The 17,988-nt window shown below is 36.6% G+C and overlaps 1 protein-coding gene across 12 annotated transcripts in view; it reads left to right on the plus strand.

Annotated features, from left to right (window-relative positions):
• Nucleotides 1–17,988, plus strand: part of NBEAL1 (neurobeachin like 1) — a 210,587-nt gene that overhangs the window by 121,678 nt on the left and 70,921 nt on the right. For all 12 annotated transcript variants that reach the window (XM_011511658.4, XM_047445554.1, NM_001378026.1 and 9 more), the window contains 7 exons: nt 314–489; nt 1,877–2,030; nt 2,335–2,463; nt 8,315–8,620; nt 8,726–8,875; nt 12,706–12,863; nt 15,180–15,304. In XM_011511658.4, coding sequence (XP_011509960.1) covers nt 314–489; nt 1,877–2,030; nt 2,335–2,463; nt 8,315–8,620; nt 8,726–8,875; nt 12,706–12,863; nt 15,180–15,304 — 1,198 coding nt within the window. The remainder of the gene's footprint in view (nt 1–313; nt 490–1,876; nt 2,031–2,334; nt 2,464–8,314; nt 8,621–8,725; nt 8,876–12,705; nt 12,864–15,179; nt 15,305–17,988) is intronic.

Below are 17,988 nucleotides of genomic sequence, written 5' to 3' on the forward strand. Positions count from 1 at the left end.
ATTTTCATGTCTGATATATACTTCTAATCCTTAGAAATATGTGAGCAGTTGTTAACAATTTCATATTGTATTCATGTTCTAAGTTTCATGATCTAAGGTTTAGAAACCTGGAAGTCACTAGATTGTGAGTTTTTTGAGAGCAAAGCTAATGTCTTACTCATCTTATGTCTCTAGGGCCTAGTAAAGTTCCAGGTTCATTAAGGACTTTAAAAATATGTTAAATGATTACAATGAGTATATGTAATGGTTCTTATGATGTGCTTTGAACAACTACACCCTCTAGTTATTTAAAATTACTTTATATTTTCCATAGAGATGTGAGGAGGAGCTTCTTCAATTACTGACACATATTTTGAATTATGTAATGTGTAAGGGACTAGAAAAGTCTGATGATGATACTTGGATTGAACGAGGACAAGTGTTTTCAGCACTAAGTAAACCAGGAATATCCAGTGAACTACTTCGACCATCAGATGAAATAAAACTAACGTAAGCATTTAGTTAGTGATTTTCCATCCTCCTTTTGGTGACAGCAGGAGTCTAAAATAACGTTAGTTATTGAACATTTATTCAGTATTCTGTGGATATAACAAGGGAGAAAAAGAGAAACTTTGTGCTCAGTTCCTTTTCCTATCTTTTGCCGTATTAGTAGGATCTAAAGAGGAATCCCAAACTCATTCCAGTATGAGGAGGTTTAAGTCTTAAGTAAATTTGGGTCATAAGTGATTACAGATTTTTTGTTTAAACTGTTTTCTTGCAGTATTTGAGGACTTGATACATTGTTTTCTACAGGCTTGTCCAAATTTGAGTGTTTCCGTGCTAAGAGAACGGAGTTGGGTTTTCATGATAATTATTTCTCTGAAGGATTTAGGGTTCCTTGTAGATCAAGTTTGTCCAACCCACAGGTTGCAGGCCACACATGCAGCCCAGGATGGCTTTGAATGTGGCCCAACACAAATTCATAAACTTTCTTAAAAAATTATGAGATTTTTTTGTGATTTTTTTAAGCTCATCAGCTATTGTTAAAACATATCGTTAAAATATCATTAGTGTATTTTATGTGTGGCCCAAGACAGTCCTTCTTCCAGTGTGGCTCAGGTAAGCCAAAAGATTGGACACCCCTGCTGTAGATAATAGGACTCTGTAATGGTAGTACACCGGGGAAGTATTACATCTTTTTTCCACAGGGCAAGACTCTCTGTAAGGCATAATAAGGCTTTCTTCCCTAACCTTGCCAATTTCCAGCTTTAAAGAAACTAATTTAAGTATCTCATGAAGGATGGAATATGAATTATTGTCATAGCTTTTTTATAGTCAAGTAAAACAGGAAACTTTTGACTTTTAATACTATGTATATTAAAGATAAATACTCCAAACATTTCAACGTTTCTCCATTGTTGTTAAATTCCATTTATAGGCCTGGCATGGTGGCTCATGCCTGTAATCCCAGCACTCTGGGAGGCTAAGGCAGGTGGATCACCTGAGGTCAGGAGTTCAAGACCAGCCTATCCAACATGGCAAAACCCCATCTCTACCAAAAATACAAAAATTAGCCGGGCATGGTGGTGCATGCCTGTAATCCCAGCTTCTCGGGAGACTGAGGCAGGAGAATCGCCTGAACCCAGGAGGCAGAGGTTGCAGTGAGCCGAGATCACACCATTGCACTCCGGCCTGGGCGACAAGAGCGATCTCTGCACTCCGTCTCAAAAAAAAAAAAAAATTCAATTTCCATTTACAGTATCTTAGGGATACCTGCTAGAGATAGTATATCTTTAGAGATACAGTGCTGCCTCTCAAGCTATTTTGTTTTGTTTTTAATGTCCTACTGTTTTTCTAAGCTCACAATGGTTTTAAGAGGACTTTGTTTTCCATTTAGTTTGCTACAAAAGATGTTAGAATGGGCAATCTCAGAAAACAGAGAAGCAAAAACTAATCCAGTAACTGCTGAAAACGCCTTCCGACTAGTGCTGATCATACAGGACTTTCTTCAGTCAGAGGGACTAGTTAATTCAAACATGTGGACCGAGAAGGTGCAGTAATATCTCTTTAAAATTATATTTTGGGTAGTTAAGAACTTTATTCAAAGAAAAATTTTGCACCCCCTCTTTTTAGAGCGTTAATGCTTAATCAGATTCAATAAACAAGGATAAGATGTGATGAATAGTCACAGATTTTTGTTAGCTATTACTAGGATGATTCTTTTGGCTTTTGTCAACTGAACATTGGACTAGCTTTTGAAATATTTGTGGTTTGTATTAATGTTGGGGAAAATTGATCATCAGTAAATTGAAAAACTGAATGTTTTTATTTCTCAATTTTTTTCCTTTGTGATAGCTTTTAGAGGATATGATGCTGCTCTTTGACTGTCTGTCAGTCTGCTATTCTGAAAGTCCAGTATGGGTAAAACTCTCTCAAATTCAGATCCAGTTGCTTCTAGGATTCATTGGAAGGGGTAATTTGCAGGTTTGTCCATTCTTTTATATTATTTTCTGTGCTTGCATGCAGCATAGGTATTATTTATGTAACAAGCCAGTTAAAATGTCTTTTTGGTATTTTAAGTTTTTCATTAGTTCTAAAAGTATCCATGATTTCATTTGGAGTTTTGAGGAGCTTGAGAGGCAGTTAATTTGTTATTTCTTCCTGATATTAATAACTTTATATAATTTTAAGGCTTCCTTTTACAGGATTTATACATAGCTTATATTAGAAACATTGCTCATATCATCTGTATTGAATGTAACTACTCAGGTGCTAGGTAGCCTGTGTAGACTGTTTATATATGTGCAGTTTAGGGCTTGAATTTTTTAGAAAAATTATTTTTTAAATTATTCCTTTTAAATTTTTTCTGCTATTTTACTAATTCACAATTTTACATTTTATCTCATATTTTTTTTTTATTTATCACACACTACCTACAAAGTACTAAGCATTGTGCTAGGTTTTAGATATGAAGATAAATATTGGTCACAAGGAATATTTATTATTTCTGTTTTAAATTTAAAATGGAAAAGGCTGAAAAAGTTTGATGTGAATTTTAGTCTCTCACTTTTCTAGTTACATATGGTACTTGTGAGAACCTGGGTTAGATTAGTCATGATAAGATTTTCACAGCTATTTACCTGGCCCTTTTTATTTTATTTTGATGTTTCCATTTTTTTATTTGGTGCAGGGAGGTTGGAGTGTGTCTGGCTTCTGATTTACATAAACTAGATATAATATTAATAAGAACATGGAGAGGTTAAAATTCTGACAACAGGTTGCCCACCCCCACCTTTTTTTTTTTTTTTTTTTTTTTTTTTTTGAGACAGAGTGTCTCTGTGTCTTCCAGGCTGGAGTGCGGTGGCTCTCGGCTCACTGTAACCTCCACCTCCCAGGTTCAAGCGATTGTTGTGCCTCAGCCTCCAAAGTAGCTGGGACTACGGGTGCCTGCCACTATGCCTGGCAAATTTTTGTGTGTTTTTAGTAGAGACGGAGTTTCACCATGTTTGACATGCTGGTCTCAAACTCCTGACCTCATGTGATCTGCCCACCTCAGCCTTCCAAAGTGCTGGATTACAGGTGTGAACCACTGCCCCCGGTCACTCTATTTTTAAAGGAGTATAGTCTGATGATTCTATTTTTTATTTTTATTTATATTATTGTGAATGCTGCATAGAAGTAATTCTATTTTTAATAGATATTTATTTTTCATTGTAAAAGTAACACATACTCATTGTAGAAAATACACAAAAGCGGCTGGGCGTGGTGGCTCATGCCTGTAATCCCAGTACTTTGGGAGGCCGAGGCGGGCGGATCACCTGAGGTCCGAAGTTTGAGACCAGCCTGACCAACATGGAGAAACCCCGTCTCTACTAAAAATACAAAAAAGTTAGCCGGGCGTGCTGGCGCATGCCTGTAATTCCAGCTATTTGGGGTGCTGAGGTAGGAGAATCACTTGAACCCGGGAGACAGAGGTTGTGGTGAGCTGAGATCACGCCATTGCACTCCAGCCTGGGCAACAAGAGCAAAACTCTGTTAAAAAAAAAAAAAAAGAAAATACACAAAAGCATAGAGGAAAAAATAAATAATTCAGCATAACGTAAGAGAAAATAACTATTAGCATTTTAGTACGTTACTTCTTTCTTGTTCTATGAATATATCTTTTTCAGATGTCATGTTTTCGGATGATTTGTGTTTTTTCTTTTTCTTACTATTATATAAAACTCATTTCCCTGTGTTACTAATAGGGTTTTTTTTTCCTTTCATCCTAAAAGTAACACATATTCAATTGTAGAAAACTTGGAAAATATGGAAAAGCTAAACAAGTATATGGGCATTAAAGTACACAGATGGTGGAATTTTGAATTATACAGACTTTTAAATGCAATTTTTAAATATATGAACTAAGAACTTAAAAAAAATGATTATACTCTTTGTCTAGTAATTCTACTCTGAAACTAATTCTAAAGTAATATCTAAAATATGAAACTGGCCAGGCGCAGTATCTCATGCCTGTAATCCCAGCTCTTTGGGAGGGCGAGGTGAGTGGATTCACTTGACGCCAGCAGTTTGAGACAAGCCTGGCCATCATAACGAAACCCCATTTTGGGAGGATGAGGCATGAGAATCGCTTGAACCCAGGAGTCAGAGGTTGCAGTGAGCCGAGATCATGCCACTGTAGTCCAGCCTGGGCAACAGAGTAAGACTCTGTCTCAAAATAAATAAATTAATTAATTAATTAAAATAAAATACAGAACCACCTTTATACACATAGATGTTCATTATAGTATTCTTTTTTTTTTCAACCTAGAAGTAGAATGAGGATAGCCTTTTTGGCTTTTTCATTAAATTTAGCCTAATGACTGCTAAAGTAGTTGCAGTTAGCATGCTAGATAGTTCTTTATTTTAGATGTTAGGACTTTTTTTTCTTTCATTTGTAGTTTACCCTCAGTGTTTTTTAATTTGATGAAATTTCCTAAACAAAATGTGTATTTATTTAGTTCACAATTAAGTATTCAGTGCCCATTCCATAATAGGGGCTTTATAAGTACAAGCACAGCACCTACAGATAAGACAGATTATTATTATTATTATTATTATTATTTTTTTTTTTTTTTTTTTTTTTTTTTTTTTTCAGATGGAGTCTAGCTCTATCACCCAGGCTGGAGTACAGTGGCACAACCTCGGCTCACTGCAATCTCTCCACCTCCCAGGCTCAAGCAATTCCCTAGCCTCAGCCTCCCAAGTCGTTGGGGCTACAGGCGTGTGCCACCACACATGGCTAATTTTTGTATTTTTAGTAGAGGTGGGGTTTCACCATGTTGGCAAGGCTGGTTTCAAACTCCTGACCTCATGTGATCCGCCCACCTCATCCTCCCAAAGTTCTGGAATTACAGGTGTGAGCCACCACACCTGGCCCAGATGAGACTGATTCTGTCTACTAGTGGTTAGTGACCTAAAACATTTCTCACTAGCCTATTGTGTAATTTTATTCTCTCAGAAATAAAAACATATTTCCCTGAGGTTGTACACATTAAAGGCTAGAACAGGAACCTCTTTCTGTATAGGGGTTATAATAGAGCTGCCTGCAAACTTGTTTTATTTGGCTCATACATGTTAATTAATTGCCAGTATTTAAGTATTAAAAATTTTACATAAAAACTAAGATTTCCCAGCTTCTTTCAAAAATAGGACTGCATGGTTGTTGATTCATTTAGTTGTATATAGTGTCTCCGGTTAGCCTGTTCCCTACTCCCCCTGTTGCCTTAGCTCAGCCAATGATTCCCATCCCTGGGCTGCACATTAAATCACCTAGAGGAGCATTCTAAAAATACCTATGTAGGGCATCACCCATAGTAATTAATTCAGAATGGGGTGAGACTAGGGCATCAGTATTTTTTTTTGTTTTTGAGACAGAGTCTTGCTCTTTTGCCCATGGTGGAGTGCAGTGGCACAATCTCGGCTCACTGCAACCTCCGCCTCCTGGGTTCAAGTGATTCTCTGGTCTCTGCCTCCCAAGTAGCTGGGATTATAGGCATGTGCCACCTCTCCTAGCTAATTTTTGTATTTTTAGTAGAGATGGCATTTCGCCATGCTGGCCAGGCTGGTCTCAAACTCCTGACCTCAGGTGATCTGCCCGCCTCAGCCTCCCAAAGTGCTGGGATTACAGGTGTGTGCCACCATGCCCAGCCTGGGCATCAGTATTTTTTGTAACTCCTCAGGTGACCCTAATGCAAGACTATTTATAATGAGGGAAAAGAAAGCAATATATGTATGTAATATGTCAGTATCCAAAATTAAAGCAGTAGTCAAGTAAATTATCTTATATTCATTAAAAGTACCTTGGTACTTTTAAATAAATGTGTAAACTTAGTGTTTATTTAATTTAATGACATTAAGTTAAAAGCAAAACATTGGATATTTAACTTTTTATGTAAATAGTATTTTCTTAAACACATACCAAAAAAAAGCCCATAATATTACATTGGTATTTCCTGGATGTAGGGATTGTATGACTTTTTTTTCTTTAATTTATTGGACTCTTGGAATTCAGTTCCTTTAGTCGGATTCAAAAACTAAAAGGTGGGAAGAGGGATGGGTTGGGGGAAAATATGAGCAGGGTAGAGAAGTCAGAGCTTTGAGTCATGTTAGAGATCGTTTCCTCCAATGCTGTTTACATTGCTAAGATTTACATGGAAAGAGTACCTGAAGTCTCTTGTTGCCTTATCCTGCAAAGACCTGTGTGTACAGCGCAGACCAGCTTTTGGCACAAATACATTCTTGAAGTGGTTTCAGGTTCTAATACTTTTTAATTTTATTTTGCTTTTATTTATTTGGGAAGTAATATAGATCCAAGTGAGGATATAGGGTTAAGGGAGAAGGAGTCACAATATGTCATTTTTCCTGCTTTAATTTTAAGACTTAGATCTTTCTGTAGCCAAGGAAAAAGGAAACCCCTAGTGATCTAATTTACCTTTCCTCACTGGGGATTAAGGCCAAAGCTTAGTAGTAGTATACAGTATTTCTTTGTCTGGGCTTGTGCCCTGACTATGTATATTACTCGGGAATTTTAAGGGTAGTTCGGTTTCTGATCAAGGACTTGGACTCCTGTATACCTGTTCTTTATGTATCAAAATATTTTGATTTCAAATAACAGAAACATCAAGCCAAATTGACTTAGTTAAGAAGATTTTTTTGCTCATATAGTTTAGAATTTCATAGTTAAGGTGAGTTTAAGCAGGATTCAGTCAGGGCTCCAGTTCCATTTATTTGCTGTCCTCACAGCACCACTCTCCATCATCTGTCAGCTTGTGTTAAGCTGGCTTCCCTTATGGACACAGAACAGCTGCCAATAGCAATTAGGGCTGTATGCTACTTCTTTCATATCCAGAGAAAGAGAGTGCTTTTTCCTACAGCCATTGTTGGTAGACAGTTCTCCATGGGTCTCTTGTGTTTCTATATATCTTGAATAGTGACTCTGGCTGCCTTTGTTATGAACTAGATTTTTGAGGTTGTTCATATGAGCAACTTTGGAAGATAGAGGTTATGTCTTCCTCCAGAGAAAAGGGAAGATTTGTTTACTATCCAATATAATAAAGATAATGTCTCCCTCCATAGCAAAATCAGACAAGTTTGCTGCCCGGTATAAAAGATTTGGGTTCCCTTTGCTGGACACGGTGGCTCACACCTGTAATCCCAGGACGTTGGGAGGCCAAGGCAGGTGGATCACGAGGTCAGGAGTTCAAGACCAGCCTGGCCAACATAGTGAAACCCTGTCTCTACTAAAAATACAAAAAATTAGCCGGACATGGTGGCAGGCGCCTGTAATCCCAGCTACTTGGGAGGCTGAGGCAGGAGAATCGCTTGAACCCAGGAGGTGGAGGTTGCCGTGAGCCGAGATCAAGCCATTGCACCCCAACCCGGGCAACAGTGTGAGACTCCATCTCAAAAAAAAAAAAAAAAAAAAAAGATTTGGGTTCTCTTTATACTGGTGGTTTCTCTCCTAAAATGTGTCTACATGTGCAGACATCATCTAGTCCTCTTCATCTCTCACTGTGGGAATTGCACTTTGAGAAAACAATGCAAATGCTGATACTCTGGCTACTGCTATTGCTGTAGATCTTGGTCTCTGACTCAGGAGTCTTGTGTCTTCTGCCAATACCTGTGAAACTGTAGCAGCTAACCCTTTAGCTTGGAGGCAAAGTAACATCTGAGACCTTTCACAGTTCTTGACAGTTATGTAAAAATTCTGAATCCACAGAGCCAGGCAGAACTTGTGCTTTCACTAAATGTTTGCTTTAGTCTGCTCTTTCTCATCTAAACTGTTTTCCTCCAGGTTTGTGCAATGGCATCAGCTAAGCTAAATACCCTTCTTCAGACCAAAGTGATTGAAAATCAGGATGAAGCATGTTACATTTTAGGGAAGCTGGAACATGTTCTAAGTCAATCAATCAAGGAACAGACTGAAATCTACTCATTTCTGATTCCCCTTGTTCGTACCCTGGTTTCCAAAATTTATGAGCTTCTCTTCATGAACTTGCACCTACCTTCTTTACCTTTTACCAATGGTAGCTCCTCATTTTTTGAAGATTTTCAAGAATATTGTAATTCAAATGAATGGCAAGTTTACATTGAAAAATATGTAAGTTTTATCTTTTTTGATCAAGATTTTTCTGCTAATTTACCATTTTTATAGAGGTGAAGTCATATATTAAATTTTATGTATCTTTTTTATTTTTTTGGTAAGATTGTACCTTATATGAAGCAGTATGAAGCTCATACATTTTACGATGGTCATGAGAACATGGCACTTTATTGGAAGGATTGTTATGAAGCTTTAATGGTAAATATGCATAAACGAGACCGGGAAGGAGGGGAAAGCAAGCTCAAATTTCAGGTAAAAAGTAAATGTTTTAATATCTAGTTTTTCTTGTTGATTTTAGGCATTTAATATTGATTAAGAGTAATACAGGCCCCAAACTTTAAAACAAGCAGTATTTCTTTTATTTGTCTAAAAATTATCTTAGAATTAGAAGAAAAACAGCTAATCAGTAACAAGATCAATTAATAGTAAAATGTTCTATATAGTGATTATGCAAAAAGTTTATTAAGCTGATAGTACGTTAATAGATCCCTCTAAGGAGGCTGGATACATACCATCACTTAGAGGGAAATTTACAGGACATAATGTTTATATTAGAAAAGAAAAAGGCATCAAATTTTAAGTTTCTACCTTAAGAAACTAGAGAAATGGCCGGGCGAGGTGGCTCACACGTGTAATCCCCACACTTTGGGAGGCCGAGGTGGATGGATCACCTGAGATGAGGAGTTCGAGACCAGCCTGGCCAACATGGCGAAACCCCACCTCTACTGAAAATACAAAAATTAGCTGGGCATGGTAGCATGTGCCTGTAATCCCAGCTACTAAGGGGGCTGGGGCAGAAGGATTGCTTGAACCTGGGAGGCAGAGGTTGCAGTGAGCAGAGATCATGCCACTGCACTCCAGCCTGGGCAACAGAGTGAGACTCCATCTCAAAAAAAAAAAAAAAAAAAGAAAGAAAAACAGAGAAACAGAATTAATCCATATCCTTATAAGCAAAAGTAAGGAATGAGTAAAGATAAAAACAGAAGTAAATAAAATTGAAATCAGAAAAATAATAGAGAAAATCAATGAAACCAAGGTCGAATTCTTCAAAATATCAATAAAACAGATAAACTTCTAGCAAGATTGACAAAAAAAAAAAGGAGAGAGAGAATGATGTGAAAAATTATTTATACCAGGAAAGAAAGAGGCAGTATCACCACTGACTCCCCGGACATCAACATTGTAATAAGGGACTACTACAAACCACTCTATGCACATAAATATGACAACTTAAATGAAATGGATCAATTTTTTGACTGACACAAATTTCCAAAACTAGTTCAAGAATAAGTATATAACCTGAAAAGTCCTATATTTATTAAAGAAATATAATTTATAGTTAAAAACCTTCGTAAAGGGAAAACTTCAGGCCCAGATGGTTTCACTGGCAAATTCTACCACACATTTAATGGAGAAATTATGCCACTTTCTCAGTCTCTTCAAAAATAGAAAAGTAGGAACATTTCTAGCTCATTTGATGAGGGTAATATTACCCTCATAGTGAAATCATAGAAAAATAGTACAAGAAAACTGCAGACCAGTATCTGTCAGGAACATAGCTACAAAACAAATCTAGCAATACATTTTTAAAATAATACATTAGATCAAGCACAGAGGCTTATGCCTGTAATCCCAGCACTTTAGGAGGCCAAGGTGGGAGGATCATTTTACGTGAGGAGTTCGACACCAGCCTTGGTAACATAGGGAGACTCCATCTCTACAAAAAAATTAAAAATTAGCTGGGTGTGGTGGTACGCACCTGTAGTCCCAACTACTGAGGAGGCTGATGTGGGAGGAACACTCGAGTATAGGAGGTCAAAGCTTTAGTGAGCCATGATCCCACCACTGCACTCCAGTGTAGATGAGCAGCAAGACTCGGTCTCAAGAACAATAATAATAATGGTAATAATAATATATGACACAACAAAGTGGAATTTATCCTCAGGATGCAGGACTGGTTCAACATTTGAAGATTAATTAATATACTGAACCGCATTAGTAGTCTTAACAAGAAAAACTACATTATCATATCAGTAAATGCAGAAAAAGCACTTGAAAAAACTAAACATCCATTTGTAATCAAAGCTCTCAGCAAACTAGGAATAGAAGGGAAATACTTAAACCTTTACAAAAATCCTACCACTAGCTTCATATTCAGAGGCGAAAACCTGAGTACTTTTCTCTAAGATAGGGAACTAGGCAGGGATATTCATTCTCACCACTGTTAGTTACTGTTGTACCACAAATCTTAGCAAGTATAGTAAGAATAGAAAAAATATATAAAAAAGCATTCACATTGGGAAGGAAAAAATAAAACTATCCAAAGATAACATGATTCTCTGTGTAGGAAGTCTTAAGGACTCTGTTATACCAGTAAATTACTACAAATAAGCAAGGTTAGCAAGGCTACAGGACATAAAATCAATACACAAAATTTAATCATATTTCTGTTCACTAGCAATGAGTAATGAATGGGAAACAGATTTTCTAAAAATACTTTTACAATAGCTCTAAAAATAATAAAATGCTTAGGTATCAATCTAACAAAATATATACAGCATCTGCTGTATATATGCCAAAAACTAAAAAACACTTGAAACAGATTAAAGAAGACCTAAATAAATACAGATAGACACTGTATTCATGAATTGGAAGACTCAATAGTCTTAAGTAATTTTAAGGTGTATATATTTGGTTAAGCCAAAATGAGAACATTGTTCCTTTCTTAACTTAAAATATATTGTAAACATCTTCCCATGCCGGGCTGCAAAGTATTCCATTGTTTTATATATTAGTACATTTAAATTTATTTCCCATTGTTAGACTCATTTACTAGTTTTTTTCTTTATTATAAATAGTATTGAACATCCCTATAGTTATATTTTTGTGGCTATCCAAGAAGATTTCTCTAGGATAAGTGGAATTACTAGTGTGTAGTCCTTATGATAAATACTGTTATATTTCCCTGAGAGAAGTTCTACCAGTTTGTATTCTCATCAACACTTTCCCCTTAACTTTACCTTTAGGTTTTCTAGAAATACCTAATTTAAGAATATCCTCATATTATTGAACCTCAAAACTGTGGAATTTATGTTTAATTACCATGGAGCTGTCATGACTTCCTTAGTTTTCTCAGCAATGATCTGTTTTAAATATTTAGTAACATTGTATTCCAAAACAATTGATTTCCTACTAAGTCTAATAATAGTTAACAATAACAATTATAATAACGACAACCACAAGTTATTGAGAACTTGCTATTTTTCTAGCACTATATTAAGTACTTTAAATGTTCATCTTTATTATGACAGTTATTGTTAACCTCATTTTACACATGAGAGGACACTGAGCCTCAGAGAATTAGCTAAGAGAAACAACTAAGCTAAAGATAAAGTTAGATAAGAAAATTAGCTCAGAAAAGCTAAGATTTGTATCCAGGTCTAACTCCAAGGCATGTATTTTTAACCACACATTGCTGTAATGTCTCTCTAAAACTGTTTAAAATTTTAACTGTTCTTTTTAATGTAATTCAGTGCTGGTTTGTTTGAAACAAATTAATGCTGTCATTTTAGTTTCTAATAGATGAATATTGATGTGAGTTAGATAAGCCAGTCTTCGGTTTGTTTCTTTGAAACCTATAAGCATTAATTTCACAGATTAAAATTATGTCTTTGTAGTATACAATTTCTACTTTCTTTCCTCTTGAGTCTCATTTTAGATGCCTTATAAATCAAAAGATCCCAGAGGAAAATTATTTTACTTGACAGTAAGTAGGAGGTTAATTATCTTGAGTTTAAAAGTTCTGTGTTGAGGCACTTTCCATTTTTGAAGTTCTTCACGTGTTTATTGTTGGTTGGTTTTTTTTTTAAGTTTTAAAAAATATAAATAGATTATAGGTAAAATTATATCACACTTCATCAAAGAAAATGATTCTAATGGAATAAGAAAAGCCTATTGGTTACTTAGCTTCTTTCTCATAATGCAAGATTTTATTGGTCAAAAATTTTAAATTATGGAATTAAAATGTAAATATACCTGTAAATATATGAGTCAATGACCTTACTTTTTATTGTTTCTTTCAGGAGCTGTTTGTGGAGCCATTTAATCGAAAAGCACGCCAAGAGAACCTGAGGTATAATAATATGCTTAAACAACTTAGCAGTCAACAGTTAGCCACTCTTAGACGCTGGAAAGCAATACAGCTCTATCTTACATGTGAAAGGGGACCTTGGGCTAAAAGGTAAGAGGATATAATTTTATTAAGTACTCCTTTTTCTTTAGTACTCTGGTCTAGAAATTTTTGAGCAAATGCCCCCTTTCACTCCAATTTCTTAAATGTTCAATTCATAAAAGGGTGCTTTTAATCTTATTTATTGTCTTTCCATGAATTATAGGTCTGGGATGATTCGAGGTTGTATTGTTTTTTATCATACAGTTATTTGCCTTCCTTTGACCCTTTGATATGAAGTTTATTGGACTTTAGACTCTTAGAGAGTGTTAAACCAATTTACTTCTGTCTTTCTGATACCACCTCTTTGAGCTAGGGCTAATGCTGTTGTATGTTTGAATATTTTACAATTCACTTAACTGATCCTCAGTTACTTCTGTTTTGCTTAATTATATTATCTTTTTTTTATACAGCCCTTTTTAAAATGTGGTAAAATGTACATAAAATTTATCCTTTTAACCATTTTAAAATGTACAGTTCACTGGCACTGAGTATATTCATAATGTTGTACAATCATCACCACTGTCCAACTTCATAACATTTTTATCACCTAAAAAGGAAATGCTGTACCTATTAAAAAGTCACTCCTTATTATCCTCTGTCCCACTCCCTAGCAACCACCAATCAGCTTTCTGACTGTATTTATTGCCTGTTCTGGTTATTTCATATAAATGGAATCATACAATATGTGGCTATTTGTGTCTGCCATCTTTCACTTAGCATAATGTTTTCATTATGTAGTAGCATGTATCAGTACTTTATTCCTTTTTATGGCTGAATAGTATTCCCTTATAAGGATATATCCCTTTTCTTTATCTAGTCAGCAGTTGATAGGCATTTGGATTGTTTTCCATTTTTTGGCTAATTTGAATAGTGCTGCTGGGAACATTTGTGTACAAGTGTTTGAACACTTGTTTTTAATTCTCTTGAGTATAGACTATGAATGGAATTACTGGGTCGTGTGATAATTCTGTGTTTAATTTACTAAGGAACTGCCAGACTGATTTCCACAGCAGCTGCATCATTTTATATTTTCACTAGCAATGTGTGAGAGTTCCAATTTCTCCGCATTCTTACTAACACTTGTTATTTCCTGATTTTTTATTATGACCCTCCTAGTGAGAGTAAAGTGGTATTTTATGATTTCATGTTCCATTTCCTAATGATTAATGATGTTTAGCATCTTTTCACATGCTTGTTGGTCATTTTTACATCTTCTTTGAAGAAATGTCTGCGCAAGTCCTTTGCCCATTTTTAGATTGTTTGATTTCTTTTGTTGAATTGTAAGAATGTATATATAAATATATATATATATCGAATAATAGACCCTGATCATATATATGATTTTCAGGTATGTAGATTGTCTTTTCACTTTATTAATAGCAGCCCTTTTGATACAGGAAAGTTTTTAATTTTAACAAAGTCCAGTTTAATCTATTTTGTTGTTGTTTTTATTTTTCTGTTTTTTTGGGTTTTTTTGGTGTCATATCTAAGAAACCATTGCCAAGTCCAAGGTCATGAAGTTTTATCCTTATCTTTTCTCCTAAGAGTTTTATAGTTTTAGCTCTTATATTTAGATCTTTGATTCACTTGCAATTATATTGCCTTTATTTGTAGTAAAATTATTTTTTACTTTGAAAACTATTGGAAATATCAACCATCTGTATAGCTAATTAAGAACTCCCATTTAACAGTGAGAGAGTAAAGGTATCAAGCTGTCAAGTCTGAAAGTCCATGTTCAAATCTTATTTCTGCTACCTGTAAACCTCATGTCATCTTGGGCAAATAATGTAGTCTGTTTTAGATTCCTCATGTATAAAGTGCAGCTACGCATACTCACTTTGGTTCTATCAGAGTTATTTGGATTAAATGAGATAAAAAATGTGAGCAGTTTTATAAAATGGTGCTAAATAGGCTGGGCATGGTGGCTCACACCTGTAACCCCAGCACTTTGGGAGGCCAAGGCGGGAAAATTGCTTGAGCCAGGAGTTCGAGACCAGCCTGACCAACATGGCAAAACCCCATCTCTACTAAAATTACAAAAATTAGCTGGGCGTAGGGGCACATGCCTGTAATCCCTGCTATGTCAGGAGGCTGAGGCACGAGAATCACTTGAATCCAGGAGGCAGAGGTTGCAGTGAGCTGAGATTGTGCCACTACACTCCAGCCTGGGTAACAGAATGAGACTCTGTCTCTGAAAAATAAAAATAAAATAAAATGGTACTAAACAAATGTAAAATACTTGATACTTTTTTACATTATTTAAATCAAACAATCTTTGTAACTTAAGCTAAATAATTTTACTTATTTGCTTATGAATATTCTTAGGAAACAGAATCCAATTCACTGGAAGCTAGCTAATGTAGAGAATTATTCCCGCATGAGACTTAAGCTGGTACCGAATTATAATTTCAAAACCCATGAGGAAGCTAGTGCCTTGAGAGATAATCTGGGTGAGTTCCAATGACTGTTTAATTGTTTGTTGAAGATAATGAGAGTGTTCGTGGGGTTGACGATTGTTATTTTATTGTTTTAAATGTGTTTACTTATGAAGGAAGGGTGGCATTTTATAATTGATATTTAAGTGACTATATGTTTTCAGTCCTGTTACATTTGGCCTAAATCCAAGGTGATTTAATACTTCCATTGATTGTAATTTCTAAAAGAAAAAAAAATTTTAATTATAAAAGTATACTGTACTTCATATCAACTGTTATGTCTCTTGCAATGAAACAATGTTCTTTTCTCTTAGTTTTTTTGTTCATCAAGACTGAGGCTAATACTAATGTTAGATAGAATTCTTAGCAATCCTTTTTTTTCTTTTCTTTTCTTTTTTTTGAGACAAAAGTCTCACTCTGTCGCCCAGGCTGAAGTGTAGTGGCGCAATCTCGGCTCACTGCAACCTCTGCTTCCAGGGTTCAAGCAATTCTCATGCCTCAGCCTCCCAAGTAGCTGGGATTACAGGCATATGCCATCACACCTGGCTAATTTTTGTATTTTTAGTAGAGATGGGGTTTCACCATGTTGGCCAGGCTGGTCTCCAACTCCTGACCTCAAGTTATCCTCCCAACCTTTGCCTCCCAAGTGCTGGGATTACAGGTGTGAGCCACCGCACCCAGCCATAATTCTTAGCAATCCTTTATGCCTTTTATTATAACCTATTTTTATAGTGCTCTAGACCCTTAGTATCTTAGATTGGCCAATGCCTTTTTCTAGAAAAAAAAAAAAAACTACTTGAGGTCAGGAGTTCAAGACCAGCCTGGCCAACATAGTGAAACCCCGTCTCTACTAAAAATATAAAAAATTAGCCAGGCATGGTGGCGGGCACCTGTAATCCCAGCTACTCAGGAGGCTGAGGCAGGAGAATTGCTTGAACCCGGGAGGCGGAGGTTGCAGTGACCTGAGATCAGGCCACTGCATTCCAGCCTGGGCAACAAGAGCAAAACTCTGTCTCAAAACAAACAAAAATTTTGCCTGACACTATTTCAAAACAGATCTTAACGGGTTTCTGCAACTCTTTAGGAAGCCTTTCCTTTATAACTGTCTCACTTGTCTTCTCTCCCTTTTTTAAGATAGGTCTGTGAAATACCCCAAAATGTTGTTTATCAAGAATCACTGGGCCCGGCACAGTGGCTCATGCCTGTAATCCCAGCATTTTGGGAGGCCGCGGCAGCAGATCACCTGAGGTCAGGAGCTCGAGACCTCGAGCTGGCCAACATGGTGAAACCCTGTCTCTACTAAAAATACAAAAATTAGCCGGGCATGGTGGCGGGCACCTGTAATCCCAGCTACTCCAGAGGCTGAAGCAGGAGAATCACTTGAACCCGAGAGGCAGAGGTGGCAGTGAGCTGATATCGCGTCTTTGCACTCCAGCCTGGGTGACAAGAGCAAAACTCCTCCTCAACAACAACAACAACAACAAATCATTGGTAGTCATAGGCATATTATGTTGTAGTTTTAGATGACAGGAGTACCAACTTTTAGATGTTATTTTTAAACTATTTTTATTTTTTTGAGACTGGGACTCTCTCTGTTGACCAAGCTAGATTGCAGAGGCTTGAACATGGCTCACTGTAGCCTTGACCTCCTGGGCTCAATCGATCCTTCTGCCTCAGCCTCCTGATTAGCTGGGACTACCAATGCATACCACCATGCCATGCCCAGCATTTTTTTTTTTTTTTTTTTGGTAGAGACAAGGTCTCACCATATTGCCAGGCTGGTCTTGAACTCCTAGGCTCAAGTGGCAGTCCTTCCACCTCAGCCTCCCAAAGTGCTGAGATTACAGACTTGAGCCGGCATGGCTGGCCAGATCTTATTTTTTTTAATTGCCCTAACATATGGCCAAAACATTTGATGCCATAAAATGAATCAAGAGAGCTATGATGCCTGCCATTTAGAGTCTTACATTTTGAAATAAATCAGATACAGTAAGTGGTTTTCCTTAATTCAAAATAATGGCCCTGTCCATGATATAAACACTAACTTTGAGTGTTATCTTACATAGCAATAGCCAGTTGTGTATAGCTTTTTCTCTGAAAGAATCTTGTATCCTCTTCTGTAAGTATCTTTCTCTACTCTTTGAAATGTAACTATCATTAACACCCAACAAACATCTTTTGGTAAATGACTTTAATAGTTACTTAAGGCATAGTGTTCCATATTATTTTCTCGACTTTTGCCAAGAAATTTCCTTCCATAAAGTTCCCTCTGTTTTTTCCTCTCCTTCTCACCCCTCGACACATGCACACAGATGTAATTTTATGTCCCTTCTTAGTCTCAGTTGTTCTTTTTGTTTTTTTTTCTCACTTTAAAAATTTACTCCAAGTGAGCCGGGCGTGGTGGCTCACGCCTGTAATCCCAGCACTTTGGGAGGCGGAGGTGGGCGGATCACGAGGTCAGGAGATCAAGATCATCCTGGCTAACATGGTGAAACCCTGTCTCTACAAAAAATTAGCCGGGCGTAGTGACGTGCACCTGTAGTCCCAGATACTTGGGAGGCTGAGGCAGGAGAATGGCATGAACCCGGGAGGCGGAGCTTGCAGTGAGCCGAGATTGTGCCACTGCACTCCAGCCTGGGCGACAGAGCCAGACCCCGTCTCAAAAAAAAAAAAAAAAATTACTCCAAGTGTAATAGTGA

This window comes from Homo sapiens, chromosome 2, assembly GCF_000001405.40.
Source record: "Homo sapiens chromosome 2, GRCh38.p14 Primary Assembly".
In the NCBI taxonomy this organism is placed as follows: domain Eukaryota; kingdom Metazoa; phylum Chordata; class Mammalia; order Primates; family Hominidae; genus Homo; species Homo sapiens.